The 27,327-nt window shown below is 54.5% G+C and overlaps 2 protein-coding genes and 1 non-coding gene across 13 annotated transcripts, besides 5 other annotated features; 1 reads left to right on the forward strand and 2 right to left on the reverse strand.

The window, feature by feature from the left end:
* On the reverse strand, positions 517 to 10,969 carry SNCB (synuclein beta). 10 transcript variants are annotated; one of them, NM_001363140.2, is made up of 7 exons: positions 10,715 to 10,969; positions 10,244 to 10,298; positions 9,969 to 10,098; positions 7,155 to 7,196; positions 6,833 to 6,951; positions 1,649 to 1,738; positions 517 to 1,278 (listed from the first exon to the last, which is right to left on the reverse strand). In NM_001363140.2, the coding sequence occupies exons 3-7, from the start codon at positions 10,087 to 10,089 to the stop codon at positions 1,246 to 1,248; spliced, it is 405 nt and encodes a 134-aa protein (NP_001350069.1). In that variant the 5' UTR covers positions 10,090 to 10,098; positions 10,244 to 10,298; positions 10,715 to 10,969; the 3' UTR covers positions 517 to 1,245. The 10 variants fall into 10 exon arrangements, with proteins under 10 accessions (NP_001350069.1, NP_001001502.1, NP_003076.1 ...); NM_001001502.3 differs by having other exon boundaries at positions 10,244 to 10,400; NM_003085.5 differs by lacking the exon at positions 10,244 to 10,298.
* On the reverse strand, positions 9,874 to 9,935 carry MIR4281 (microRNA 4281). The gene has a single exon (NR_036239.1). It is a non-coding gene; the product is annotated as a microRNA 4281 (primary transcript).
* Positions 10,881 to 11,150: a silencer, noted in NCBI's record as "silent region_16663". NCBI's record gives its function as "represses an Ori minimal core promoter by ATAC-STARR-seq in GM12878 lymphoblastoid cells {active_cell/tissue: GM12878}" and the evidence as "EXISTENCE:reporter gene assay evidence [ECO:0000049][PMID:35858748]".
* EIF4E1B (eukaryotic translation initiation factor 4E family member 1B) lies at positions 11,110 to 27,079 on the forward strand. 2 transcript variants are annotated; one of them, NM_001375362.1, is made up of 9 exons: positions 11,110 to 11,499; positions 22,478 to 22,612; positions 23,145 to 23,237; positions 23,517 to 23,701; positions 24,074 to 24,169; positions 24,811 to 24,874; positions 25,565 to 25,678; positions 25,812 to 25,951; positions 26,301 to 27,079. In NM_001375362.1, the coding sequence occupies exons 3-9, from the start codon at positions 23,223 to 23,225 to the stop codon at positions 26,413 to 26,415; spliced, it is 729 nt and encodes a 242-aa protein (NP_001362291.1). In that variant the 5' UTR covers positions 11,110 to 11,499; positions 22,478 to 22,612; positions 23,145 to 23,222; the 3' UTR covers positions 26,416 to 27,079. The 2 variants fall into 2 exon arrangements, with proteins under 2 accessions (NP_001362291.1, NP_001092878.1); NM_001099408.2 differs by having other exon boundaries at positions 22,478 to 22,600.
* Positions 23,879 to 24,520: an enhancer, noted in NCBI's record as "H3K4me1 hESC enhancer chr5:176070445-176071086 (GRCh37/hg19 assembly coordinates)". NCBI's record gives its function as "activates a minimal SCP1, AML or CMV promoter by ChIP-STARR-seq in naive H9 embryonic stem cells {active_cell/tissue: H9 hESC(naive)}" and the evidence as "EXISTENCE:reporter gene assay evidence [ECO:0000049][PMID:30033119]".
* Positions 24,521 to 25,160: an enhancer, noted in NCBI's record as "H3K4me1 hESC enhancer chr5:176071087-176071726 (GRCh37/hg19 assembly coordinates)". NCBI's record gives its function as "activates a minimal SCP1, AML or CMV promoter by ChIP-STARR-seq in naive H9 embryonic stem cells {active_cell/tissue: H9 hESC(naive)}" and the evidence as "EXISTENCE:reporter gene assay evidence [ECO:0000049][PMID:30033119]".
* Positions 25,742 to 26,252: an enhancer, noted in NCBI's record as "H3K4me1 hESC enhancer chr5:176072308-176072818 (GRCh37/hg19 assembly coordinates)". NCBI's record gives its function as "activates a minimal SCP1, AML or CMV promoter by ChIP-STARR-seq in primed H9 embryonic stem cells {active_cell/tissue: H9 hESC(primed)}" and the evidence as "EXISTENCE:reporter gene assay evidence [ECO:0000049][PMID:30033119]".
* Positions 26,523 to 26,817: an enhancer, noted in NCBI's record as "tiled region #4950; HepG2 Activating non-DNase unmatched - State 10:DNaseD, and K562 Activating DNase matched - State 8:EnhW". NCBI's record gives its function as "activates a minimal TATA promoter and a strong SV40 promoter by Sharpr-MPRA in HepG2 and K562 cells {active_cell/tissue: HepG2 | K562}" and the evidence as "EXISTENCE:reporter gene assay evidence [ECO:0000049][PMID:27701403]".

Here is a 27,327-nt window from a genome sequence, read left to right on the forward strand (position 1 = left end):
GGGGGTGGGAGGGTGGAGCACCGGAGGCCAGGGCTCTGCTGGCTGCAGGGGCAGTTGCCCATTTCCCTTCCCCTTAGACAAGTTTTTCTGCTTTGGGCAGGTGCGCGCGGGGCTTTGTGCGTGTCCACGTTCTGGAGTGGGAGAGGTCTTTCAGCGCTCGAATGGGATGCACGTGTTGGCCAGCGTGCATGCACGCTCGCGCGGCCAGAGTGCGCACACTCGGGTTCGCGCATATGGACCCACGGACAGGCACGCGGGTCCGCACGTGAGTGGGCATCGGCGCGCCTGCGCTACCTGTGCGGCCAGTTGTGAGCCCTTCCGCCCCAACGCTGCGGCGGCATGGGGCTTCCCTAGATCCTGCACTCCCAGCTGGCACTTTAGGGACTAGCAGGAGGCGCCCGAGGCCACCTTCCCGCCTCCCAGCCAACTGCGTGTCCCAGCCCCGGGGGCACCCTCCCCGACCTGCCTTCCGGGGGACAGAGTGGGAGATGGAGACGCGAAGCCAGAGGTGGCCAGTCTTGTACCTGGGCTGTGTGTGCCAGACCCCAAAGAGCACAGAGGGGTAGGCTGGGACCTGGAAGACTCGCCGCCACGTGTCGCCCCCACCCGGCGCCCAGCCCAGCCCTGCCGGTGCGGCTCTGGCTACAGACAGATTAGCTTTATTCATGGACTCTCGGGGGCGGCCGGGCCCACCCGCCCGGGACACGCTCACATGGGGGGGATGGGGACTCTCCATGCCACAATCACAACACACGACGCCCGCGTTCGGACCGGGCCGGCTGGGATGGGGGGCGGGGGACATGGCACAGCCTGGCTCCTGGTTTTGGTTAAAAAAAAAAAGGTTCTCGAGGTTAATGGGAGTCGGGCGGGGTGCTCTGGGGCTGCCCGGGGGCCGCTTGGAGAGCCACTGTCGGGGATCGGGGAGGAGCCGTCGCTCGGATCTTCGTTTAAAAACACATAGAACATGCTACATCCGCGCAGACGCTGGATGGGAGGAGGCAACACTGGAGGGGCGAGGCTCCCAGCCGCGACCGCAACCCTGGCCCTGTCCATGCCCCGGGGTTGGACGCGGGCGGGTAGGACAGACAGATGGACAGACACTAACACAGGCTCCGAGGGGGTTGCCTCAGAGCGGAAGGAAGATCTCGTGATTGGGGAGAAGGAGTCTAAGGACAGCCCTGGCTCTGGGGGGCGGGGCAGGGACAGGGACAGAATTGTGCTGCTGGTGGGGGCTCTCCTGGGCCCCTACGCCTCTGGCTCATACTCCTGATATTCCTCCTGCATCACCGGGATGGGGGTGGAGTAGAGAAGAGCAAAAAGGAGGAGGAGTTTGAGACCAAGTGGCCAAGCCCCGGCCCAAGAACCCTCTCCCTGAAGGAGGAATAGCACATTCCCCTTTTCCTGGGCAGGGGAGGAGCCTGGAAGTTGGGGACAACAGAGAATTCTTGGGCAGGTGTGCCTGGGGCCCAGCGCTAGACCCTATCTGCCCTCTCCTCCCTGCTCCCACCTCCTGGGGCCTGGGTTCTAGAAGAGGGATGTCAAGCTCCCTGGCCCAACCATCTCATGCCAGGGATGTCCCACCCCAGCTAGGGACGGCAGCAATCATCCTGGATTCCCAAAGTCCCGCCCAGCCCTGCTGCCCCCTCACCTGGGGTGGGTCCTCATAACTCTCCCCTTCTGGCTCCATCAGGGGCTCAATCAGTGGTTCTTCAGCAGCTTCCTGGGCCACTTCCTCTGGCTGTGGGCAGAAAAGGTCAGGACTCGTGAGGACAGCCAGGATGCCCCCCAAATTCCCACAGTGGTAAGCTTTGGGTGGGTTGGAGTGGGGAAGGCTAGGGTGGGTTGGCAGAGCAAGGATAATTTCTAATTCAGTTATTTATTTGGAGTGCCTTGGAAGTGGGATGGAGGTGAAGGGGGAAATTCCCCCGAATCACAGTTGAAGTGGCAGCATGGAGTGGGAGCTGGCTCTCCACGCCGCTCCCCCAATGCCTGGCAGCCTCCACACTTCCACCATTTGGATACTCAGTCACCAGCTTATGCCTCATCCTTTGTGTCAGGCTCTGTGCTGGGCATCGGGACCCCAGAGATAACCCTCAGGCTCCCCTGGGCTGAAGGGAGCTGGAGGCTCAGGGACAGGGCTGGGCAGGGGCTCTGAGCCATTCCCCCGCCACCTTCCACTCATCCCTCCCCCGGGCCCTGTGTGGCCTCGTTTCTTCAGCTGTTGCTATTTTAAGATAAGCTGGAAGCCACAGCTCGTGGTGTTGCTTGGATGTGTGAGCTAAGACTCTCCCCCCCACCCGCTGCGTCTGCTGCCCAGACAGGCGCAGACCAGCGGGCATGCATGTGGGCGGGCTGCCAGACACATGGCCAGCCACCTGCAGGTGACCACATGTATGTGAACAAACATGGGACTGAGCTGGCTGCACACACAAGCACACGCGATAGCTTAGGATCCATGCACAGCCTGTGCAGTGCCTCATGTGGGGCTGGCACACGCCTGGGATCCCGGAGCATTGGTGCTGGGGAAAGCCTGCCCTGACCACGTCTGCACCCTGGGTGTCCCAGCTCCATCCAGGCAGCGTCAGCTCCTTCACATTACCTGTCTAAGTGGGCCCTGTGGGCACATGAGTTTCCAGCTCCTGACCTGGCTCATTTCCCCACTGCACAGATGCGTATGCCAAGGCCCAGGAGGTGGGGAAATGTTAGTTTGCCCCCAAGTCACCCAGCTATGACCAGAACCCAGGGATGGAATGTAGTGCTAAAAATGCCAGCTTGATAGCTGGGCACTGTGGTGCGTGCCTCTAGTCCCAGCTACTTGGGAGGCTGAGGCAGGAGAATCGCTTGAACCCGGGAGGCGGAGTTTGCAGTGAGCCAAGATCACGCCACTGCACTCCAGCCTAGGTAACAGAGTGAGACTCCATCTCAACAAAACAAAACAAAACAAAACAAAACAAAACAAGCCAGCTTGAGCACATTGTTTGGAAACAACCCAAATGTCCAACATCAGTAGAATGGATGTGTGCCTTGTGACCTAACGACACAATGGAATACTACATAACAAGAATGAAGAACAACAATGCATACAAGAGCAGGGCTGAGTCTCACAAGCTTCCTGATGAATGGAGGAAGCCAGATACAGAACAGAAGAGCATGGCCTTCATGATGACTTTTTTTTTTTTTTTTTTTTTTTTGAGACAGTCTCACTCTGTGGCCCAGGCTGGTGCGCAGTGGTGTGATCTCGGCTCACCGCAACCTCAGCCTCCTGGGTTCCAGCGATTCTCCTGCCTCAGCTTCCCAAGTAGCTGGGATTACAGGCATGTGCCACTGCATCTGGCTAATTTTTGTATTTTTAGTAGAGATGGGGTTTCGCCATGTTGGTCAGGCTGTTCTCAAACTCCTGACCTCAGGTGATCTGCCCACCTCGGCCTCATGCCTGGGATTACAGGCATGAGCCACTGTGCCCAGCCTCATGATAACATTTACAAGAAGTCAAAAAACACCCAACTAGTGTTGTGCTGATAGAAGCCAGGAAGCAAGGCCAGGCATAGTGGCTCACGCCCGTTACCACTCCCAGCATTTTGGGAGGTCAAGGTGGGCAGATCACTTGAGGTCAGGAGTTTGAGACTAGCCTGGCCAACATGGTGAAACCCATCTCTACTAAATATACAAAAATTAGCTGGGCATGGTGGTGCACGCCTGTAGTCTCAGTTACTCAGGAGGCTGAGGCAAGAGCATTGCTTGAACCCAGGAGGTGAAGGTTTCAGTGAGCTGAGATTGTGGCACTGCACTCCAGCCTGGGCAACAGGGCGAGACTCCGTCTAAAAAAAAAGTCAGAAAGCAGTTCCCCTTGGAGGGCGATAGGCAGGGCCAGGACTGAGGGGAGGTGGGTGAGGCTCCTGGAGTGTAGATGTTAGGGAGGCCTGGCCTCCGTCTCCTGGCCATGCAAGTGAGACTCCATGAGTGAGTGCCCCAGACACCTCTTTTGTCTCCCCCTAGTCCTGGCCCTGGGGATAGGAACTGGAAGGGGTCACAAGGTGGGGTCCTGGGGGGTAGTGTTCTGTCTCGAGCTGGCTACTGGTTACAAGGGGAGTTCCCTTTGTGAACATTTCATGGAGCTGCCAGTTTTCCACATGTACATTGTACTTCAATAAAAAGTTCACTTAAAAAAATACCCATAGCCTGTAATCCCAGATACTTGGAGGGCTGAGGCAGGAGGATTGCTTGAGCCCAGGAGTTCCAGATCAGCCTGGGCAACATAGCAGGACCCCATCTCAGAAAACAAACAAACAACCCCAGCCTGGCCACCTGGTAGCTACCTGGCATCAGGCAAGTCATTTTGCTTCTAATCTCAGCAGCCTTGCATGGGAAACGAGGCTGGTGAGGATTCCGTGATGATGGATGGAAAGCATGCTCGAAGCAGAGAGTCTCAGAAATGCAGACCATGGGCCTGCATGAGTCCCCCATGCCGCTGGTGGCCCAAGGGGCTGTTGTCTGTGTTATAACTCTATGATCTTGGGCTCCCTTGGGAGGGTAGCCTTGAGGCGTCAACAAGCACCAGTAGGAGAAAGGTGACCAGAGAGAAATGGTTCTGTGCAAACACCCATCACAGCCTGGGGCTGACAGGCTGAACCTGCCTCTCTTTTGCACCCCAGCTCGCAGCACTAGGACTGGCCCTGTGCCATCACCAAGCGACCCCAGTGACATGGCCTGAGCTTATCCTCCTGACCACCTTATAAGGGAGGCAGGCAGGAAATGGGGTCTTGGGCAAGTGACTTCACTTCTCTAAACCTCAGTCTCTTCATCTGTAAAACGGGCTGGTTATGGTGCCACATTGGGAAGAGTCAATGAGTTAGTTCATCTAGAGTCAAACATCTAGGACAGTGCCTGCTCATGAAAGAGATCAATGAATGGAAGTGATTATTGGTAACATGATTATAAGAAATGGGAAGTCATGGCCGGGTGCAGTGGCTCATGCCTGTAATCCCAGCACTCTGGGAGGCCGAGGCAGGTGGATCACCTGAGGTCAGGAGTTCGAGACCAGCCTGGCCAACATGGTGAAACCCCGTCTCTACTAAAAATACAAAAAATTAGCCGGGTGTGGTAGCGGGTGCCTGTAATTCCAGCAACTTGGGAGGCTGAGGCAGGAGAATTGCTAGAATCCAGGAGGCAGAGGTTGCAGTGAGCCAAGATCGTGCCATTGCACTCCAGCCTGGGCAACAAGAGCAAAACTCCGTCTCAAAAAAAAAAAAAAACAAAAAAAAACAAATGGGAAGTCATACAGATAGTAAAATGCAGAGACAGGGCTTGAACTAGAACTTCTGAGTCAAGATCCTGACTTCCAACAGTGGAAGGAACCAACTGTGCAAAATGACAGGAGTGGAGGGCAGCGTGGGGTCTCCCACAGCCTGGTGGATGCACTCATGCTGAACGTACACTGATCACCCAAACCAGACGCTGCAGAAGGAGCCCCCATCCCCATGGAGGCAGGGTCTGCACGCGTCCATGGACAGACACAGAGCATTCACAGCGAATGCCTGCACACACATGTCATGGGGGATCCACTTCCAGGCACGCCTGTGGTCACAGGATCCCCTGCAGGCAGACCCAGACTGCTTGAGTGATCATGTGGCCACAATCTCTTGCAGGGCATTCACTGTATGCAAACCCAGCTCTTTATATCCATGGTTCTCATAGTATGCTCCCTGGAACTGCGGCATCAACCTCACCCGGGTACTTGTTAGAAATGCAAATCCTCCAGCCCCACCTCAGACCTACTGAATCAGAAATTCTAACGATGGGGCCAAAAATCTGTATTTTAACCTGGCCTCTTGGTGATTGATACACACTCAAGCTTTGAGAATATCTATATTATCTCCAATCTGCATGAGATTCCTATTGTGTTCACTCGCATTTTACAAGTGAACTATCAAGTTCAGAGACATGGTGGGAACTGCCCAGGGTCACACAGCCAGGAAGTAGTGGAGTTAGGATTCAAACCCAGCTGAGGCTGGGGGTAGGTGGGTTCAGAGCTCACAACTCTTAACCCCCTCTTATCAGGGGGTCCTAGTAGGGGGATCTGTCTCCATGCACACATGAGTGGTTCCCAGGGCTCCCCTGGGGAAACACAACTGCACAGATCACACCCACCCCAGCACAGCTCCCACCTGCTCCAACCTGCCTCAGGGCCTTGGTACTTGCTGTTCCTACAGCCTGAAATTCGCTTCCCACACATCTCAAGGCTGCCTCTCTCATCCCTTGGGTGTCAGCTCAAATGGTTCTTCCTCAGAGAAGTCTTCCCAGCCAAAATAGCCCTCTCACCCCTTGCCTGTCTGTCCCATCGCCCTCTCTGTCTTTTCTCTGTAGCACTTATCCCCGCGGAAAGCATCCTGCCTGCTGGCTTGCGTTTTACTATCTTCTCCCACTACAATGTCAGCTGCAGGAACGTAGGAACCTATTCACTGCGGCAGCCTCTACAACAATTCCTCTCTGGCATGGATATTTGTTGAATGAAAAGAAATGAATGAACAATCATTGACACATGCAGACGTGGCCAGAAGTCATCTGGGTCACGCTGGCAAGCAGGATACACGCAGACAGCCAGGTCTGGGTCCCCATCACCGGGAGCGTCACACCCATGCACGCCTTTATTCAGATGCATTCTGAGCTGAGTCTAGCACGGGCCTGCAGGATGGGAGGCAAAGTGGCTTGTGTTCCAAGCTGGTGGCAGGATTAGGGGGGCGGGGATGGTGACAGGTTTATTTGTGTGCCTGGTGTGTGTGTGTGTGTGTGTGTGTGTGTTTGCCTGCATGTGCGGGTCAGAAGGATCGCTTACCTTCAGATCAGTAGGGAATTCCTCCCTCTTCACCAGTCCTGTGGCTGCTGCGATGTTCCCTGCCCCAGAGAACACAGCTCCTCCCAGATGTGAGGCCTGTTCCTTGGTTTTTTCAGCCACTGGAGCAGGGAGGGGGTTGAGGAAGGGGTTTGGGAGCCAGGGGGAAACACCGATGCCCTGCCTTGTAGTATCCCAGGGCCTGCCCTCCCCACGGAGCATTCCCGCAGAAGCCTTGGGAGTCTCCCCCGCCCCCGCCCTCTGGTTCCCGGCCAGATCATCCGCCTAAGTGAGAGAAGGGCTGGTGCCAGGGCTGGGCTAGTACCTGAAGCCACACCTTGTACCACACCTTCTCGGGTCTTGCTTCCTGCAGGGAGAAAAAGCGGCACATTTAAGGACTCTGCGCTGAGGGAACAGAAACTCCAGCACAGCATGGTGATTACAGAGTGGGCATCCTGGCCCCGTCACTGCCTCCTTGGGTCCCCACATCCTACAACCTGCACCCCCATGTTAACCCCCGTCTTATCACTGCACTGGGCCCCACACCTCTGTCTGCAAGGGTTGCAGTTCTCTCCCACCTGATGCGATACCCCACCCCTCTAGTGGATGTTGGCTGAGGGCCAGTGCTGTGTCAAGTCCTCTGCCTGCCCCGCTGCACTTCACTTTTCCCCAGCCCTGGGAGGCGGGTGCTGTTATTGTCCCCGTTTCACGGATGGAAGCTCAGTGTGGGTTCCACCACTAGGAAGTGGCTGAACTGACATTCAAGTTCAGGCCTTTCTGACCCTAAAACTTTAGCTACCAACCACTCTCACAGCACGTAGCCCAGGATAGGAGGCAGGTGGGGGTGGGAGTAGGGGTGGAGCTGGGAGGCCACAAAGCCATGTATTTTGAAAGGTTCCCCTCGTGCCCCATGCACCACTGCCCATAGCCCACTGCCCCACTCCATTTCCTCTAAAGATTCTCTTCTCCTAGCGAGGGTGCAAACCCCTTCTTCTGGCCAAAGTAGGGGGTGTCAGGCTCAGGGTGGGTCTAAAGGTGATGTGCAGATTGTAACTGGCACCCGTGGCATTGGCTGGGCCTTCCTCGGAGGGTAGCAACTTGATAACTTCAAAATGTCTGGGGGCCGCTGGGAAGGCCAGAGGGCCTGATCTGGGCTGGAGGATGAGAGACGGAAACGGGGTGGGGAGTATCCCGTCTGACAATTTGGCAACACAGACAACAGTGATGGAGCCAGAACTGGGTGTCTAGGCAGACTGAGCCCGGCGGGGGGGTGGGGGAAGAGGCTGGTGTGGGAAGACAGGGTTCTCAGGGCGAAGGCCAACCAGCACCCAGAGACAGGAGGGGCAGGCTGCATGCTCCCCTTTCACTCCTCCCACAAAACATCAGCTTCCACCTACTCTGTGCCAGGCCCTGGGCCAATCGCTCACTGTCTGAAGTGGGTAAGAGAAGAACAGATTCAGTTCCTGGACCTCAAGTAGTGGGGAGAGGACTTCCAGCCTCCAAGGACTGACTATGTGAGGAGGGAAGGGACACTGCCTAGGCCTTGAGAAATGGGGAACAGATGGACATCAGAAAGGAGACTGCAGAGGGTATCCCAGGCCCAGGGACCCACACAGACAAGGCAGAGCAATGTGCTTTCAGGACAGTCCATGTGCCAGGAGCCATGGGTGTGGTGGGAAATGTAGACTGAGGCAGGACCATGAAGGGCACTGAATGCCAGGGTACAGGGAGCCGAGGCTTTAACTTGTAGGAACTGGGGTCCATCAGGGGCTCCCAGGCAGAGGCAGGAGCAGGAAGTGCCAATCTAAGGGGAAGAGCAGCATGGCTTGGAGGGGCCAAGTCTATTATCAGAGAGAGAGTGTCAGAGAGCCAGAGGCCAGCAGGAATGAAAGACCCTGGGGAGGAGGCAGGAGGGAGGCCAGAGCTGGGATCAAGCAGCCATGCACTTTAGCCTTCTCCCGGTCTCCATTGCCACCACCCTCGCCCCTGCCACCCTCATCCTGTGGCCTCATCAGGCCTCCCTGCAGTTTTTCTGTCCCCAGAGGCCCAAGTGACCGTTCTAAACTAATCACATCATGGCAGTCCCTTGCTTACAGTCTCTCGTGGCCATGATAACAACGTTTTGCCCTGGCCTGCAAAGGGCCCTCGTGAACTGTCTCCTGCCCATCGCTCTGACCTCACCTCCTACCACTACTTCCTGCCCTGCCCCCAGCTCACCCCAGGGCCTTTGCACCTGGCTTTTCTGCAGCCCTGCCCCCCTCTTATTACTCAGGGATGAGGCATTCTCTTCAGGGAGCCACTGGATGTCAACTCGCACTGCTGAAATGCTCTGTATCACCATCAGGAGATCAGGAACCATTCTTTCCTGTTCACTGTGAAACCCCAGCATCTGCAGGATGCCTGGCACATAGTAAGTGGACACAAAATATTTTTCAAATGGCCACAATCCAAATATGCCACGACCCTGGGCAAGTTATCCAACCCTGGCCTTTCTTCTGATACCAGCCAGTGGTTGCAAGGAAAGTGGACGGGGAAGAGAGCTGGCAAAGGTAAAACCACAAGAGTTGTGATGCAGGTGGACCTGGAACGCAACTCAACTCGGCCTTGGAGGTGCTGGAGGGAGGCGCCACAAGGGGAGGGGTGGGGCTTCAGAATCTATAAAGCTCCGTTCAAACCCCAGCTTCAGCATTTACCAGCTGCTGACCTTGGGCAAGGTACTTAGATCTCTGGGAAGCCCAGTTTCCCTTACCTGTAGAATGGGCCGAAGCATTACATGAGGAAATGGATGTTATGACATTTTACCCAGTACTTGGCATACAGAAAGTGTTCAACACCAGATAACTATTAATAATGGTAAAAAAGATAAGAAAAAGGAGGCTGTCTGCTTTCATCACTGCACTGGTCCCTGGCCTTTCAGCTGGAGCCCCCCACCTCATCAGCCCGCCCCGTGTCCCCATTTCCGGATACAGACCCAGGCTTCTATGGGCTGGCTATGTCCCCTATGACCCCTGCTGACCTCGCCCCATCTGCTGACTCATATTCTCCTGCCCAGAACCCCCCTCCCCGGGACCCGGCCCCAGCTCCACACTGTCGGGGGACCCCCAGCCCTGCAGCCCCAGAAACCCCGCCCCTTACCCACCGACGTAGAGGACGCCCTCCTTGGTCTTCTCCGCCGCCTCGGTGACCCCCTGCTTGGTTTTCTCCGCGGCTGCCACAACGCCCTCCTTGGCCATGGACAGGCCCTTCATGAACACGTCCATCCTGGCGGCCTGGGGAGGGCGATACACGGGCACCGGTGCACTGGCCCCGCACTCTCACCCCAGCCCCTCCCGCGGGACGCAGATGCCCCCCTACTCCCGAGACCGCGGCGCCCTTCTGGACCCTGAGCCCCCTCCCGCTTTCCCCCCATCCCACCCCACTCCCCAGTGCGAAGCCTCAGGGCCGCGGAGAGTCCTAGCGTCCTTGAAACCTGGGGACGCGGGAGGGGCCACTGCCTCGGTTATCCGGGCCCTGCAAACTGCAGCCCCGTCGAACCGGAGTGCTGGGTTCGGCGCGAATATCCAGGACCCGCCTGTACACGCACGGCACAGTCACACGGTCATGCACACAAACATACACCACGGACAAGCTCACGTGCACACACAGGACACGCAGACGCTCCAACGCGCACGAATACCCCGACCCACATGGGCGCGGACACACGTCCCCACAGCCGCCCGGGCAGCTGCAAACACCGGAGCATACTCACATACTCCGGGGTGCACACTGACGCGCATCCCCCGGGTCTCCCTCCATTTTCCATCCCCTTCCCCAGCTCCCTCCTGTCGCCCCAGTCCCCTCTCCATCCTCATCCCGTTCCCCATCCCCGGCGCGCGGCCGCCTCACCTGGATGCGGGGCCGGGGCTGGGGATGGAGCGGCGGCTGCGGCGGGCGGACGCGGGGGCTCCGCTAGGCCAGGCCGGGGTGGACCAGGGGCCGGAGGGGGGATAGGGCCGGGATCAGGCGCTCGGGTCGCGGGTCCTGAGCAGGAGCGCAGCAGTGCCCGGGTCTCGGGTGCGTAGCCAGCCACCGCTCGTTCCTCGCGCCCTGCGAGCTCGCGCGCTCCGGCTCCGGCTCCGGCTCCGGCGCTGCGGCAGCTCTGAGCTCAGCGCCCCCGCTGGCGGCCGCGCCGCCCCTTCGGCCTGACTGACAGGGGGCGGGGAGGGTGACAGCGCGTAGCCGATGAGCCTCCCGGGGCGGGCCCGGGACGCGCCCCTGGGGGCCCCGGCCGTAAGACTCGCGTAGTCTGTTGGGAGTTGAGGGAGGGGGACAACGCGGCGTGTGAAGAGTGGGGAAGAAATCACGCGACTGGATTTGGAGTTCTGCTGGGCTCGAATCTCAGCTGTGCTTTTTATTAACCGTGGGACCTTGAGCTACTCGGCTCTCCTTTCTGAATGACAGTTTCCTCCTCTGTAAAACAGGAATGGTTAATTCAACGAATGTTTACTGAGCGCTTAGTCCAGTGGTGCAGGTTTAAGGCTGGAGGCAGCGGAAAAGGAAAACAAGGTTCCTGGTCTCGGGAAGCTTACCATGGGGGTGTCTGTACGCGTGTGTGTTCGTGCGCTCAGTGGTGGAAGACAGGACAGAAAATAAACGGATCAACATCCAAAGCAACAAGGTCATTACAGCTTGTAAGTTGTGAAGGTAACGGTGATGTAACACGGGGACTAGAGGAGGGGTGCTTGAGACAGGGTGCTCAGGGAAGGCCTCTACCAGCAGGTGAATTGTAGCAGAGACTCCAGAGAGGCACCATGACACCACGATGGGTGAGGACAAGATCCATAGAGAGTGCAAGTGCAAAGGCTCCAAGGCAGGACTGTGCTGACAAAAGACAGCGCAGCTGGAGAGCCAGGATGGAGGGAGGTGGAGAACAAAACCACTTTTTTGTGTGCTTACGGTGGGGACTGTCAAAATGATCACAGAATGCCAGGCACACAGTAGGCCCTCAGTTGGTTCTATGATAGAATTATGCCCAAGAAGCTGTAGTATCCCAGAGGAAAGGGACTCTGACAACTTAGGGGAGTCAGGAAAGGACATAAAAAAGAGGTGACAACTGAACTGTGGCCTGACAGGAAGGGGACTATTTCATCGAGCAGGCTAGGGAGAAAGAGAATTTTAGGCTGTGGGTACAGCATGGGCAAAGGCACTGTGGCCAGAAATGCAGGGTGTGTAAGTGACAGGTAATTAGGCGAGGGGGCCACCAGCAGCCAGACTGCAAAAAAAAAAAAAAAGGAAAAAACCCAACCAACCAAACAAAAAACATTCACAGGCCGCTGGTAGAACTGCAAATTGGCGCAGACATTTTGGAAGGCAATCTGGCAATGTTTACCAAGCATAAATGCATGCGCCTTTGGAGCCAACAGCTCCCCTTCCAGGAATTGATCCCGTGCGACTCTAGCCATACATGCACACAAAGATACCTGTGCAAGGATGTTCACTGTAGCATGTTTTTTTGTAGCAAAAAACTGAAAATGATCTAAATGATCATCTGTACAGGACTGGCTAGCTAACTGTGGCACATCCACCCAGTGCAATGCCACACTATGGTTGGCAAAGATGAGCTAGACCCATGTGTGCTGACATGGGAGTGTGCCAAGATGTGGTGGTAAGTGTGAGAAGCAAGGTGCCAAACTGGAATGTGTGGAATGAGCCAATTTTGATACAAAGGGAATTATATTTTATGTATAAGTACTTATAATTTTCTATGTGTCAAATATATATTATATACTAACATATACATACTTATCACATACTATATACATTATACACAGACACCTTATATACAAACATACACATATTTATGGCTAGATATACAATTCTTTTTTCTTTCTTGTTTTTTTGAGATGGAGTCTCCCTCTGTCACCCAGGCTGGAGTGCAGTGGTGCAATCTTGGGTCACTGCAACCTCCACCTCCAGGGTTCAAGCAATTCTCCTGCCTCAGCCTCCCAAGTAGCTGGGATTACAGGCATGTGCCACCACGCCCAGCTAATTTTTGTATTTTTAGTAGAGACAGGTTTTCACCATGTTGGCCAGGCTGGTCTCGAACTCCTGACCACAAGTGATCGGCCCACCTAGGCCTCCCAAAGTGCTGGGATTATAGGCATGAGCCACCTCACCTGGCCACACCTCTGTAATAATTTCTGAGAAAACTGTTAAAGGGAGTTGCACCTAGGAAACGGGACTGAGAGGGTTCAGGGAAGGAAGTTTCACATTCCATTGCCTTCCTTACTGGTGCTGTTTGATTATTTTCCCTTGGATAGTATTTTACTTGTGTTATTTTAAGAACTAGCATGGAGGGTACCTGCAGTTATTTTTGGTCTCTCAGCATTAAAATTGCCCCCTTCCCATGTTTAGAGGGGTCCCCCACCTTCTGAGGCAGAACCCACCTTCCCCTCTGAGAGATGACTATGCCAGATAATTGCTTTCTCAGTCTTCCTTGCAGCCAGGACATGTGACTGACAGGTGCAGCTCCAGACTTGGGACCTGAAGCTAGTCCCAGGAAGCAGCAGGGAAGCAGAGGGCGGGGTGGGGGAGGGGTGTGTTCTGGTGTGGAAAAGTGGTGGTGGCAGCTCCTGCCAAGGACCATTGGCAGCAGTGACACTCACTGTGGGAGTGTCCAACACCAACAGGACAAGCTGCACTGTCCATGCCCAGCCATGGCATCGGGATTCTTCATAGGTCTGCCTGGTAGTGGGATTTGGGGCATCATTTCAGGCTGTGTGGTCTCCAGCGTGGATTTTCTAGCTATCCTGGAGATTATTTGAGCTGTCCAGTGTTTTTTTTGTTTGTTTGTTTGTTTGTTTGTTTGTTTTAAGAGATAAGGTTTCACTGTATCACCCAGGCTGGAGTGCAGTGGCACAGTCAATCATAGCTTACTGCAGCCTCGAACTCCTGGTCTCAAGTGATTCTCTCATCTCAGCCCTTTCAGTAGATGAGACTACAGGTGCGTGCCACCATGCCAGGCTAATTTAAAAAATATTTATTATTTGTTTGTGATTTACTTATTTATTTTTCGTAGAGACAGGGTATTTGTTTGTGATTTACTTATTTATTTTTTGTTGAGACAGGGTCTCACTAGGTGGCCCAGGCTGGTCTCGAACTCCTGGCCTCAAATGATCCTCCCACCTCAGCCTACCAAAGTGCTGGGATTACAGGTATGAGCTATTGTACCTGGCCCATGAGCTGCCCAGTATTTAATAAACTCCTTATTTGCTTAAATCACCCAGAAGTGATTTCTGTGGCTTGGGATTAAGAACTCCTGATGCCAGAGTACAAGATAAAGAAAGATGAAGGAGGATGGAGGAGCGGGGAGAAGGAGGAAGAGAGAAAGAAGATGAAATGAAGCGTGTCTGAACTTCAGATCACAGGAAACAAGAAGTCACTGAAGGATTTTAAGCACAAGAGACCTAATGAGATTTGCATTTTATGGGGCCAAACGGAGATGGGTTGGAGGAGGATAAGGCTGGCTGTAGAAAGATCAGTAGGAGGCTGGGGCAGACTCCAGAGGAGGGACAAGGACGCCTGAACTACAGAAGCCCGGGTGACGCTGGAGCAGGGCTGGAAGGAGAGACGTGAACATCACTTGGGAGTAACTTATTAGGTGTTATGGGAGACGGAGAAGGACAAGTTGAGGAAGATTCCCAGGTTTCTGGTTTGGACAATGGGGTGAGTGATGTTGCTGCAAAATGAAATAGGCATTGAGGGGGTGGAGCAGCTTGGTGGGGGGATGATGATGAGCTTGTCTGGGGGAATGACAGACAAGCTGGAGGAGGTGTCCAGCAGACACTAGGGTATCTGAGCCCAGAGCTCAGGAAAGCACTCCAGGCTGGCTTCAGATGCAGATTTGAGCCACGGTGTACTCAGAATTCTTTAACAAATGGCACAAATGGCTCTCCAAGGTTGGGGCGGGAAAAGGGTAGGCAGGAAGGAACACCTAGATTTGTGGTTTGCCAATGTCCTTGGGGTAAAATACTCCCACCACAGTTGATTCCAAGCTGTCAGTGTGATGTCATTGAACAGAAAATTGGTTCAGTTATCTAGAATTTTCATGAGACAGATAACGTAGATAAAAATAACCTTAAGAGCACAGATAATAGTAAAATAACTAGGAAGTTATGTGTTTTGAGTATTATCTATGTTTTTTAAACATAATGTAACTATAACTTTATATAATTTAATTTTTAACAATGTAATGGCTTTAACAACTGGCTCACACAATTCCTGAAGTTTTTTTTTTTTTCTTTTTTTTTTTTTCGAGACAGAGTCTTGCTGTGATGCCCAGGCTAGAGTGCAGTGGCGTGATGTCGGCTCACTGCAACCTCTGCCTCCTGGGTTCAAAGGATTCTCCTGCCTCAGCCTCCTGAGTAGCTGGGATTACAGGCACCCGCCACCACACCTGGCTAATTTTTGTATTTTTAGTAGAGACAGGGTTTCACCATGTTGGCCAGGCTGGTCTCGATCTCCTGACCTCATGATCCGCCCACCTCAGCCTCCCAAAGTGCTGGGATTACAGGCATGAGCCACCACGCCCAGCCAGATTCCTGAAGTTTTAACAATTGTTCTTGTGAGCCAAGTGAGATCAGTGCCCCACTGGGTTTGGAGTCATTAGCATAGAGGTGGTGGCTGGAGCCATAGGGCTGAGTGTGATCGTCCGGGGGTGCACGGAGAGTGAAAAGAAGAGAGTGCCCGGAACAGACTCCTGAGGTGCTGCAAACTTCGGGGTGGCCAGAAGCAGAGGAACCTGGAGAAAGACTGAGAAGGCTCTGGCAGTGAGAAAGAAGGACAAGCTGAAGAGAGTGCACAAAGACCTTGGGGATAGAGGTCGACGAGATAAATGCTAGAGGGAGGCCGAAGGAGACCAGCAGTGGAGAGTCTGCGATGGATGGGCAGCAAGTGGGTGACTGGGGAGCTGAATAGCAGTGAGCGCAAAGAGGGAAGGGGCAGCAGGGGACAGCCTCCAGGAGAAAGTGACATTCGAGCTGGGTTTTGAAAGATGAGAAGGACCTTACAAGTGGTGGTGAGCATTCCCAGCAAGGGATCTAGCAGGTGGGACAGTCCAGAGTGTCGAGGTAACAGAAAATAGGTTAAATTCTGAGTCAGGCAGGAAGTTCGTTTGGCTGCTAGCACAGAAGCTTAGGCAAAGCAGGCATTTATTCTTTCACTTAAACAAGTCCAGTGGTGGGCAGTCCACAGGTGGTGTGATGACTTCACAGTCATCAGGAACCCAGACTCCTACCTTTCTGATGCACCATTCTTAGTACATGCATTTCATCCTCATGGCCCAAGATGGCTGCTGCAGCTCCTGCCATCATGTTGATGCAGACAGCAGGAAGAGGGGAGGTAGGGTAAAAAGAATATCTGCCAGTTGTCTGTCTTTTTCTTTCTTTCTTTCCTTTTTTTTTGAGACGGAGTCTAGCTCTGTTGCCCAGGCCTGAGTACAATGGTGTAATCTCGGCTCACTGCAACCTCTGCCTCCCGGGTTCAAGCTATTCTCTTGCCTCAGCCTCCTGAGTAGCTGGAACCACAGGCACATGCCACCATGCCCGGATAATTTTTGTATTTTTAGTAGAGACGGGGTTTCACCTTGTTGGCTAGGCTGGTCTCGAACTCCTGACCTCAGGTGATCTGCCCGCCTCAGCCTCCCAAAGTGCTAGGATTACAGGCATGAGCCACCGTTCCCAGCTAGATTCACCAATTATTAGCATTTGCTACATTTTTCTCTCTTGCTCCGTATGTGCTTCCCTCAGAAGGGGGCACGGATACTGGGTCACCACTCTCTAGCAGGATGGATCCTTTCCCCCGCCACATACCCCTACCACCCTTTAGAGCATGGGGTGGCAAAGCTCGGGCTCGTGGGCCTCCAGTGGCCAGTGGCCACCTGCGAGCCTCAGGAACTCTCACTGTTTCTGTTCTCTCTTTCCCCAGGAAATGGGCCTTTCCATTCTTTTCTTCCTCTCCCCTTCCTAGGAATGTACTAAGGACGATGACTCTGGAAGCTTCTGGGAAGGGAACATGGCAAAAGGTGGGAAAGGGTTTTAGAGAAGATCCTCGTTGGAGCAGCTGGAGCAGAGAGTTCTCTTAAGTGGATCCTGGGGATTCCAGCCCCGCCTGGGTTCTGCAAAAATCCAGATGTGCCTTTGTAACTCTGTGTGTGGCGCCTGGCAGATTAAACATTTAGCAGCATTCCTGCTGTCCAGAGGCCTCAGAGTCCTGCAGGGCAGGCAGGACGGGAAGCTGAGAACAGGGAGGGGAACCGGGGACATTTACTGAACATCTGCAATGTGCCAAGTACTCCATCCATTACGTCACGACGTCCTCACGGCAATCCTTCAAAGCAGGCATTTTCATTCCCATTTTACAGATAAGGGAATTGATACCCAGAGAGGGAAAGTCACTGGCCTTTGTTCTTTTCAATCAGTTTTCCCTGAGTGCCTACTGGGTGCCGATATCATTCCAGGTACAGGAGATGCAGCAGGAAATCAGACCAATGAAGCCCTTGCCCCTCTGGAACTCAGCATTCGAGTGGGATGGGGCAGACAATTCACAACTAGAAACCACAAAAGACGCTTCCACTGTGCCGCTCTTGTAAAAGTCGTCAGCGACACTCACTTTGCTAAATCTATTGACCAATCCTCCCTGCTCCCTCTGACTTCTGAGTACTTCCCATAAGCCAGACGCTGTTGTAGGCCCTGGGGACACAGCTGTGAACAAGAGAGGCCTTGGGGGCTGGGCGTGGTGGCTCACCCCTGTAAGCCCAGCACTTTGGGAGGCCGAGGTGGGCGGATCACCTGCGGTCACGAGTTCGAGACCAGACTGGCCAACATGGTGAAACTCTGTCTCTATTAAAAACACAAAAATCATCCAGGTGTGGTGATGTGCTCCTGTAATTCCAGCTACTTGGGAGGCTGAGGCAGGAGAATCCTTTGAACCCAGGAGGCAGAGGTTACAGTGGGCTGAGATCGTGCCACTGTACTCCAGCCTGGACAACAGAGCAAGACTCCGTCTCAAAAATAAAAAGGCCTTGGGGACCTTGAGGAAGGCAAGTGATGAGTAAAATAAATCAGTAAAATGTATGGTGCGTCAGGAGGTGACAAATGCTGGGGGCAGTGAGGGAGGAGAAGCAGAGGAATTGCTGCACTGGGCTGAGGGGGGTTGGACAGTCACATACGATGGGCAGGGATCGCCTACCCTGAGAGAGGTTAGGAAGTGAGGGGACAGCCTCTGGAAGTCCTAAGGCAGGAGGTGGCTGGCACATCTGAAGATCTGCATGACTGAAGGCCACTGTGGCTGCAGCAGAGGGAGGGAGAGGAGGGCTGGAGGGAGGAGGGCCTTGTGGGCTCCTGCGCTGTGAGCAGAGGAGGGAGTGATCCAGATTTCATTTTAACGGCTGCTGTGTAGGGAGTAGGGAGGGGACTATTCTTGGGCAAGGGTGAAAGCTGAGGACCAGTTCAGAGGCCATCACCATCACACAGGCAGGATGACTGTCACTTGGGCTGGGATGGTGGCAATGGAGACCAAGAGAAGTGGTTGGGTCCTGGATGTTTTGAAGGGAGAACTGGTCATGGCATGTGCTAACAGGTGAGAAGGACAGAGCCCCAGGACCATTCCAGCGTTTTCGGCTGAGCAGTTGGAAGGGTGGAGAAGACGGTTGGAAGAACAAGTCTGGAGCGGGGCAGAGGAGGTGTCAGGAATTCATCTTTGGACATGGTAGCTCTGAGATGCATAGTAGATACCCAGATGGAGCTGTCGGGCGGGCAGTTGGATATGCTCTTCTGGATTTCTGGTGGCGGCTAAGCATGTCACTCTCTAAATGACATTTAATGCCCATTACTGGATAAGGGCATGAAACAGCAAGTACTGACAGAACAGACAAGAGGTCCCAGGGCTTAGTCCTAGGGCCTTCTGATGCAAAGAGAAGAAACCATCCATTTTGTTCACAGCTGTGCTCCCCAGAGCCTAAAATGGTGTCCGGCACAAAGTAATTGGTAGGTCATTATTTGTTGAATGAATAAACGAATAAGTAGTGTTAAGCGCTAAGAAGGAAATAGAACAGAGTGATGAGTTAGAGGGCATGGGGGAGAGTGTTCTTCTGTAGATAGGGTAGCAGTCAGGGAAGGCCTCTTTGAGAAGGTGACATTTGAGCCAAGCCCAGAAGGACAAGGAGAAGTTCTGTAAAAAGTTGCAGAGGAAACTGCAAGTGCAAAGGCCCTGAGGCAGGAACAAATCTAGCCTTTTGGAGGCTCCATGTGCTCAGGGCATGGGAGGCTGGATCGCCTAAGAACCTTGCAAGCCCAGGACCTGGACTTTGGATCACATCCTGGGTGTCCTGGAGGTTTGTTTGTTTGTTTGTTTGTTTGTTTAAATGCAGTTTCACTCTTGTTGCCCAGGCTGGAGTGCAATGGTGCGATCTCGGCTCACTGCAACCTCTACCTCCCCAATTCAAGTGATTCTCCTGCCTCAGCCTCCCAAGTAGCTGGGATTACAGGTGCCTGCCACCATGCCCAACTAGTTTTGTTGCTGTTGTTGTTTGTTTGTTTGTTTTATTTTTAGTAGAGACACGGTTTTACCATGTTGGCCAGGCTACTCTCGAACTCCTGACCTCAGGTGATCCACTGGCCTCGGCCTCCCAAAGTGCTGGGATTACAGGCATGAGCCACCACAGCTGGCCTGGGTTTTAAACAAAGAAGTTACGTGACCAGATTAATATTTTAAATGATCCCCCCGAGGAACCTGGAGAACTTTCTGTAGGAAAGCAGGAGTGGAAGCAAGTGGAGTGTCAGGAAATACACAGCAGCCAAGGTCAGAACCAGCTTCTCTGGAGTCAGGGGAGTTGGGAGGGAGAGGAATGGGCAGATTCAAGATATTTTAGGAACAGGATGGTAGGGCTGGGATTTAAGAGCCCCTGCTGGTTCAATCCCAGCATGAAGATGTCCCCCATAGACAGACTTGGAAGGGCCTCAGCGAGGGGCCAGGATGCCTGTAGCGCCAGGGGGGTTGCTCTTAAGGTCTCTCCTTAGTCACCTCAATCCAAGACTCCAGGAGCTTCCCCAGGCTGGAAGCTGTGGGAAGTGGTGGGAAGGGGTGCTGTGGCTGGGAGGGTCCTTCCGAGCTGGGCTCTGGGCCACAGCTGTAAGGTAGCTAAGACCATGCCCGGTACTGGGGGGAGCCCTTCCTTCCTTTTTCTTCATCAGATCTAGATTCCTGGCCGGCACAGTGGCTCACACTCGTAATCCCAACACTTTGGGAAGCAAAGGCAGGAGAATCACTTGAACCCTCCCAGGCTGATTTGAGACCAGTCTAGGCCACATATTGAGACCTCATCTCTATTTTTTTTTTAATTGAAAATTAGCCAGACATGGTGGTGTGCACCTGTAGTCCCAGTTTCTCGGGAGGCTGAGGAGGGAGAATGAGCCAAGGAGTTTGAGGCTGCAGTGAGCTATGGTCATGCCACTACACTCCAGCTTGGGCAACAGAGCAAGACACTGTCTCAAAACAACAACAACAAAATCTAGATTCGTGAGCTCTTCCCAGCCTGGTCCTCTTCCAGTGCTCCCTCTGTCCAAATTTCTTCAATGCTCCTCCCACTGAGAGGTGGCAGTATGTCCCCTCCCTTGAATCTGGGCCTGTGACTCTAGTAGAATAGAGTGGGTCTGATGTGGTGCCAGGTTTCAGGCCCAGGCCTTAAGAAACTGGCAGCTTCTGCTTCCTGTCTCTTGGGATGCTTGCTCTGGGAACCCAGCCACCACGCCGGGAAGAAGCCAAGCAGCCACATGGAGAGGCCACGCAGTGCCATCCTGGCCAGCACCCCCAGCTGAGGCTCCAGCTGACAGCTGGCATCAGCTGCCCCACGTGTGAGTGAGCAGATGACTCCAGCCCCAACCTGTAAGCCACCCTAGCTGACCTCCCTTTGAAGGAGAGCTGGGCTGTCCTACTGAGCACTACCCACATTGCACGCTTGTGAGCATAATAAATGATGATTATTGTTTTAAGCCACTGAGTTTGGGGTGGTTTGTTGTGCAGCAATAGATAAGTGGGACACAGTGCTTCACCCCTCCAGGGCCTATCTATCACTAAATATCACTGAGTTTTCCTTCTACATACCCCTTGAGTCTATTATCATCTCTCCATCTTCTCTGCCGCCCCCTCTGTCACCTGGACGACTACATTAGCATCCTAGTCAGTGTTTCCCCACACCTTCTTGCAGCCACAGGGTTCTGTTTCCTACACAGCAATCCAGAGAACCTGCTGAAAAGCATATCTGATTGCCTCCCCAGCCAGTCTGTACATGCTCAAAATGCTCAGTGGCTCCCCACTGCCCCTAGGATCAGGCTTACCCATTTCTTTCCCCTTTTAGCTTCGCCCACACTGGCCTGTCTTCTCGTCCTCTGGTATTCCACATTCCCTTTGCCCCAGGGCATTTGCACATACTGTTCCCACTCCCAGAGATGCCCTCCCCGACCCAGTTAATTATTTCCTATTATTTCTTGTTTATGCTTTAGGTCTTTGCTCAAATACCACCTCTCAGTGACCTTCTTCTCAGTGGTTCTTAAAACGGGGTCCCTGGCCAGCAGCATCTGGGAACTTGTTAGAAATACAAACATCCTGGGCCTGGCGCTTTGGGTCACGCCTGTAATCCCAGCACTTGGGAGGCCAAGGTGGGCAGATTGCTTGAGTCTAGACATTCAAGACCAGCCTGGGCAACATGGCAAAACCCTACCTCTACAAAATAAAACAAAACAAAACAAAACTAGCCGGGCGTGGTGGTGCATGCCTGTAGTCCCAGCTACTCGGGAGGCTGAGGTGGGGGAATCACCTGAGCTGAGACGTCAAGACGGCAGTGAGCCAAGATGGCACCACTGCACTCCCGCCTGGGCAGCTGGAGTGAGACCTTGCCTGAAAACAATATAAATAAATAAATAAAATGGAAACATCCTCAAGCCCAAGCCCAGAACTAAGGCGTCAGAAGTTCTGAGACAGGGCCCAGCAGCGTGTGATGAGCAAGCCGTGCAGGTGATTCTGATACACGCACCTAAGAACTGCCGCTCTGAAGCCCCAGCTTGGATCGTGGACTTTTTAGGTTCTCCCATCCCCGAATCCCTTTCCTTCAGTGGGTTGTGTTTGTGACGACACAGATTGTCTGAGGGATGCATAATCTCATAAACCTGAGCACAGGGCCCGCTTGTTTTTCGCTCATCACCGTAGCAGCACCTAACCCTGTGCCTAGCACGTACCAGGGCTTAAGGCTGTGGGTTGAGCAAATACTCAGCCTCCAGATGGTCACGAGCCCCCCAAGTGTGGGGGAGGAGCAGGGCCTTTTATACGTCTGGGACCCTAAAAGTGCCCAAGGGGAGGAGGCAAAACTTTAAAGGACTTGGGGAGCCTTCAGCCTCCACAGAAAAGGGGTTGTTCAGAAGGCCGATAAAGGGTGTCCAAAGCTTCCCTGCCTTCCTTCCCCATCCCAGTCCCCACCCTCCCCAACCTGGGAGAACCCTCAGCTGACTTCTGTTGAGCACAAGCCAGGCCTTGTTCTACGGGTTCTATGTGTTCTATATCATTTAATACCCTCAACAAGCTTCTGAGTTGTGTATGATTAACATTTTCATTTTACAGATGGGGAAACTGACTCGATGAAGCTCAGGCCTGGCCGCGGTCAGGGTAGAATCAGGACTAGAACCCAGGCTGTGTGGCTGCAGCCCTGACCCTCACCATCCAGGTCAGGCAGAGAACACTCAGGTGGGGCAGGAGGTAAGGTGGGGGCTGTGGGGAGCCTCATGTGTCTCCAAAGGGACTGGGGGCCTGTGAGGCAGTGAGTCGGGGAGGAACTTTCCAAATCCTCAAGAGAAACCAAAAGTGTGAATCTTAGTATAAAACCCCCCTATGTCTAAATGTTGGCAGATGATTAAACTTTTAAAAAACTCAGATGCCACTGGGTATGGTGGCTCATGCCAGTAATCCCAGCACTTTGGGAGGCTGAAATGGGAGATCACTTGAGCCCAGGAGTTGCCTGGGCAACATAGTGAGATTCCTTCATCTCTAGTCAAAAGAATATTTTATTTAAAAACAAACAAACAAAAAAACTCAGGTGCTTCCAGAGACCAGATGAATACCTGCTCTGATGTGAGGTTGGGGATGGTGCCAGAAGGCCCCACGGCCATGTCAGTGTCTCTGCTTCTGCCATCGGCAGGGCCGTCCACCTCACATTCTGGGGTCACCCTCCACGGGATGCAGACCTTGCTTTCCCTTCGAGCAGGCTCCAAATATTGACGCTTACCTTCAGGTCTTGGCCCCCATGGTGTGGGGCTTGGTCACAGCTGCTTCCCCAGCCCCAGGCCTGCACGAAGAAGGCACTCACTAAATGCTTGCTGTTGAGGTAATCAGCCTGGCCTCTCTACCCCCAGTGCACCATGGCCCCGCCCTCTCCCCCCCCCCCCCCGCCCCAGGTGGGCGGGGCAGGTGCTGGTGGGTTAAAAGCTGGTAGCTGGGGGCTTTTCAGATGCTGGGTCCTCCATGGAGTTTGAGCTGGGCATGGCTACTGAAGGCCTTGTGAGTCCCCTGCCTTCCCCTCCTGGAGCAGGGGATGGGCAGGGTGGGCACAGGGACAGCCAGGGCCAGAGCTCACAACCCATCCTGACTCCTTTTTTTGGCTCAGGTGAGTGAAGCTGAGGGTGGAATCCGAGAGTGGGAGGAGGAGGAGAAGGAGGAGGAGGCAGCAGAGAGGACGCCCACAGGAGAAAAGTCTCCAAACTCTCCCAGGACTTTGCTGTCTCTGAGAGGGAAGGCCCGGACGGGGGGCCCCATGGAAGTCAAGCTGGAGCTGCACCCCTTGCAGAACAGGTAGGCAGGAGCCTGCGAGTGGAACACAGCCCCTTGCTTTCAGGCCAGCCTCTGTGCTGGCAGCGTGGCCTTGGGCAACCCCGCCTCTCTTGGCCCTAGCTCTTCATCCGTGGGAGGCCAGGGCTGACCTAAGCCTTGGGCCCTGTTGGCCCTTCCAGCCCTAACCCCGCAGAGACTGTGGGTCAAACACCCCCACTCCTCCCCTGCCCTTCAGGACAACTGATTTCATTCACCTGAGAGGGGAATGCTGTGCCCCAAATCTCATCTCCCAGTTCGCCCTTGAAGGGGAGGGTCCTCCCTGTCAGTCCAGGTGCCCCGGGGGTGGACTTGGCTCTCTGCTTCCTCCTGGCTGCCTCCCCCTTCCCCTACCAGGTGGGCTCTGTGGTTCTTCAAGAATGACCGCAGCCGGGCCTGGCAGGACAACCTGCACCTGGTCACCAAGGTGGACACTGTGGAGGACTTCTGGGCGTGAGTGTCTGTCCCCAGTGGGGCTAGAGTTGGGGGGCTCTGAGCTCTGGGCTCCCTCTCTCCGGGTTGAGCCAGCCCTCCCTAGGGCCTTTCAGCCTTTGTGAGGGCTGGGGCTTTGTGGGTTCTGCCCAGGGGGTATAGGGCACAACCACCCCCCACCCCACCACCTTCTTTGGGCTCAGGGAGAGAGCCTGGGGAGCAGGAGAAGCAGGAAGCTGACCTTGACTCGGCCACTCCAGGGCTTTGTGACCTGGGCAAGTTCCTTCCCCTCTCTGAACCTGTCTCAGCTGCAAAGGGAGGACTCGGCTGCCTCAGTGTCCGGGTGCTCACGGGAGTGGCTCTGAAAAGGGCTACACAAGCCCTAGGGAGGGTGAGAAGGCCTCGGCTGTAGCTGGAGGGGGGAGCACCAGGGGGTCTAAAACCCTCCCCAGGGGTTGGCTCAGCCTTCACTGGGAAGGCTCTGTGGAAAAGGTGGGTCTTGAGAGTTTGGATAAACGGGAGTGGAATCCCAGGTGGCAGGCCAGTGTAAGCAAAGGCTTGGAGGCCATGGGGTCGGATGAGGAGTTGGGAGGGCTGAACCCAGTTGGAACCAGGCCCTAAAAAGCCTTGACTTTTGGCATGGGGTCGGGGGCTCTGTCCAGGCTATACAGTCACATCCAGCTGGCCAGCAAGCTCTCCTCTGGCTGTGACTACGCCCTCTTCAAGGTAAGCTCTGCTCTCCTCTTTCCCTCCCGCAAAGGGACAAGGGGTTGATCCCTCCCGGACTCCACTGCGTTAATCCCTCAGAGGGGTGGGGGTGGGGAGCTACGGGCCACCTCTCAGCAGAGTTGTGGTTTCTGACTGGAGGAAATGCTCTACAGGAGCCCGGACAGAGTAGGTCAGGCCCAAGCCGCACCTTGGAGGACCTTAAGAGGCGGGAAGAGGGAGAGGGAGAGATTTCTGACCTGGCTCCTTAACTAGGGAAGGGCATCAGAATTGCTTGAGGACACTCATTGATGCCACACCCATCCCTGGAGGGCTGACATTGTGTTTAGAGATCTCCCCAGTGACTTCTGCCCTGCCTGGGAACCATGCAGCCAAGCCTGGGATGTCCCCCTTGCCTGCATTGGGGTCTGCCCCTGAGGCTTCCTTAATCCACCCCGATTTGAATGCTTGTCTTAAGGAACTCAGTAAAAGAGACATGCACATATACAAGGCTATACAAGGTGACCAGTGCTGTCTGTCGGGGGGAGCTGAGTGGCTGGGGGTGGAACCTGCTTGCACTGAGGGAAGGGAGGATAAGAGAATCTGGCCTACTTAGGGCCTCAGCAGAGAGCGGATAAGGCCGGGATGGTGGGTGGGTCCCCATTTCCCTTTGAACACAGGGAGGCAGTTGACTTGCCATCTGCCTTGCAGGATGGCATCCAGCCCATGTGGGAGGACAGCAGGAATAAACGGGGTGGCCGCTGGCTGGTCAGCCTGGCCAAGCAGCAGCGCCACATTGAGCTGGACCGGCTGTGGCTGGAGACGGTGAGTTGGAGGAGGAGGGTCCTCAGGGGAAGAGACGGGCTGTGTGGGTCTCATGGTGGCAGTGGTCTCAAGGATGGCAGGCCAGTCCCTATGTCCCAGCCGGTGATCTCACAACCCCCTACTTCGGGTCCAGCTGCTGTGTCTGATCGGGGAGAGCTTTGAGGAACACAGCAGAGAGGTATGTGGGGCCGTCGTCAACATCCGCACCAAGGGGGACAAGATCGCTGTGTGGACGAGGGAGGCGGAAAACCAGGCGGGCGTGCTGCACGTTGGGTGAGGAGGGTCTCTGGCACAGGGTGGGGACTTGGGTCTCTGCTAGAGGGAAGGTGGGTGGAGGGGGCTTGGCCTGCATGGGAGACCTCTGAAAGTCTCCATAGCCTCCCTCCCTTCTGCCTTGCCCACCTGTATGGAAGGTCTGGCGTTCAGATTTCTAACTTTCTCTTACGGCAGTGCAGCTCTCCTTTTGCATTAAGGGGGTCATATTTTGGGTTTCCACATGGGTAAGACACAACAGGTGTGGCTGTGGCCAGAATGAGGGTAGGAGTCTGGTGGCCTAAGTTATCTCTAGGACCCTCTGATGACTACCTGTGTCTCTTTTCCTCTGTGTCCCCCGCACCTGCAGGCGTGTATACAAAGAGCGCCTGGGCCTCTCCCCAAAGACCATCATTGGGTACCAGGCCCATGCAGACACAGCCACCAAGAGCAACTCCCTAGCCAAGAACAAGTTTGTGGTGTGAGGGGGGCCTTGGCACCCCTCCTATGTAATGGGACAGCCGCCACTGAGCCTCATTACTTTGGGGGATGGGGCGGGACTGGGGATCAGACAGCCTAGTTCTTACCTGTCCTCAAGTGAACAGGAATGCAAACACTCTTTAACATGAGTTGGGGCCTGAGCCTTAGGGGCTAGATGGGGGTAGTGGTGGCAGTCTGAGGACCTAGCTTGTCCTGGGGCCACAGGACAGCAGCAGGGTGGAAAAAACTCCTGAGGGTGGGGTGAGTCATGGCGGGGAAGGAGGGCTCTATGGTAGGCGGAGAAACCCATAGTCCAGCGTTTACTGTTTCCACCCAGGAAGGAGGTGAGGTGGCCTGAGAGACAGACTCTTCCATGGGTGGTGGGCTCAAGGGCACAGACATTCTGGAGGGTGAACGCCATCATTTGTACAGAGGGATACGTGGGTTGCTGAGGACTGAGAGAGCCTTGCAAGGCCGCTCCCCTTCTCCCCAGCTGTGACCAGGGCTGTCTGGGCCTTGCCTGCCTCAGGGCCAGACTGAAGTGGAGGTGGAGGGATGCTGGGCTAGGCCTCACCAAGGTTCTGGTAGAAGTGGTGGAAGTGGATAAACTTGATAATAAAAGCTTAAGCATCTTTCTGTTCCTGTTTTAAATAAATACTTCTGAACAAAGTTGGAATTATTTTTAAGAGGGCTTCAAACTGGAGTAAGATTCAGGTTCCCCCAAACTTTGATCTGCCTCTGTCCTGTCTTACAGGGGCTCATGTGAGATCACTGGGTACCAAGGAGCCTGACCGGGACCCTGGCCAGTATGGAGGACAGGGGGTGTGGCTGGGGAAACTCAGCCACCAAGGGGGCTTGAGCCAGGTTCCGGGGGGCATATGCCCCTGGCAGGGCGCAGCCGGCGTGGCACCAAGGCC

Source organism: Homo sapiens, chromosome 5 (genome assembly GCF_000001405.40).
Source record: "Homo sapiens chromosome 5, GRCh38.p14 Primary Assembly".
NCBI classification, from domain to species: Eukaryota; Metazoa; Chordata; class Mammalia; order Primates; family Hominidae; genus Homo; species Homo sapiens.

What these genes read in the sequence shown, in the direction of transcription:
- SNCB (XM_011534640.3), bottom strand. Translation starts at nt 10,089, where the DNA reads ATGGACGTGTTCATGAAGGGCCTGTCCATGGCCAAGGAGGGCGTTGTG. An exon ending in GGAGGGCGTCCTCTACGTCG is followed by an intron (nt 7,197 to 9,968) that starts GTGGGTAAGGGG and finishes TTCTCCCTGCAG; the next exon opens with GAAGCAAGACCCGAGAAGGT. An exon ending in AATTCCCTACTGATCTGAAG is followed by an intron (nt 1,739 to 6,832) that starts GTAAGCGATCCT and finishes TTCTGCCCACAG; the next exon opens with CCAGAGGAAGTGGCCCAGGA.
- EIF4E1B (NM_001375362.1), top strand. An exon ending in ACTGTGGAGGACTTCTGGGC is followed by an intron (nt 24,170 to 24,810) that starts GTGAGTGTCTGT and finishes GGCTCTGTCCAG; the next exon opens with GCTATACAGTCACATCCAGC. An exon ending in GTGACTACGCCCTCTTCAAG is followed by an intron (nt 24,875 to 25,564) that starts GTAAGCTCTGCT and finishes TCTGCCTTGCAG; the next exon opens with GATGGCATCCAGCCCATGTG.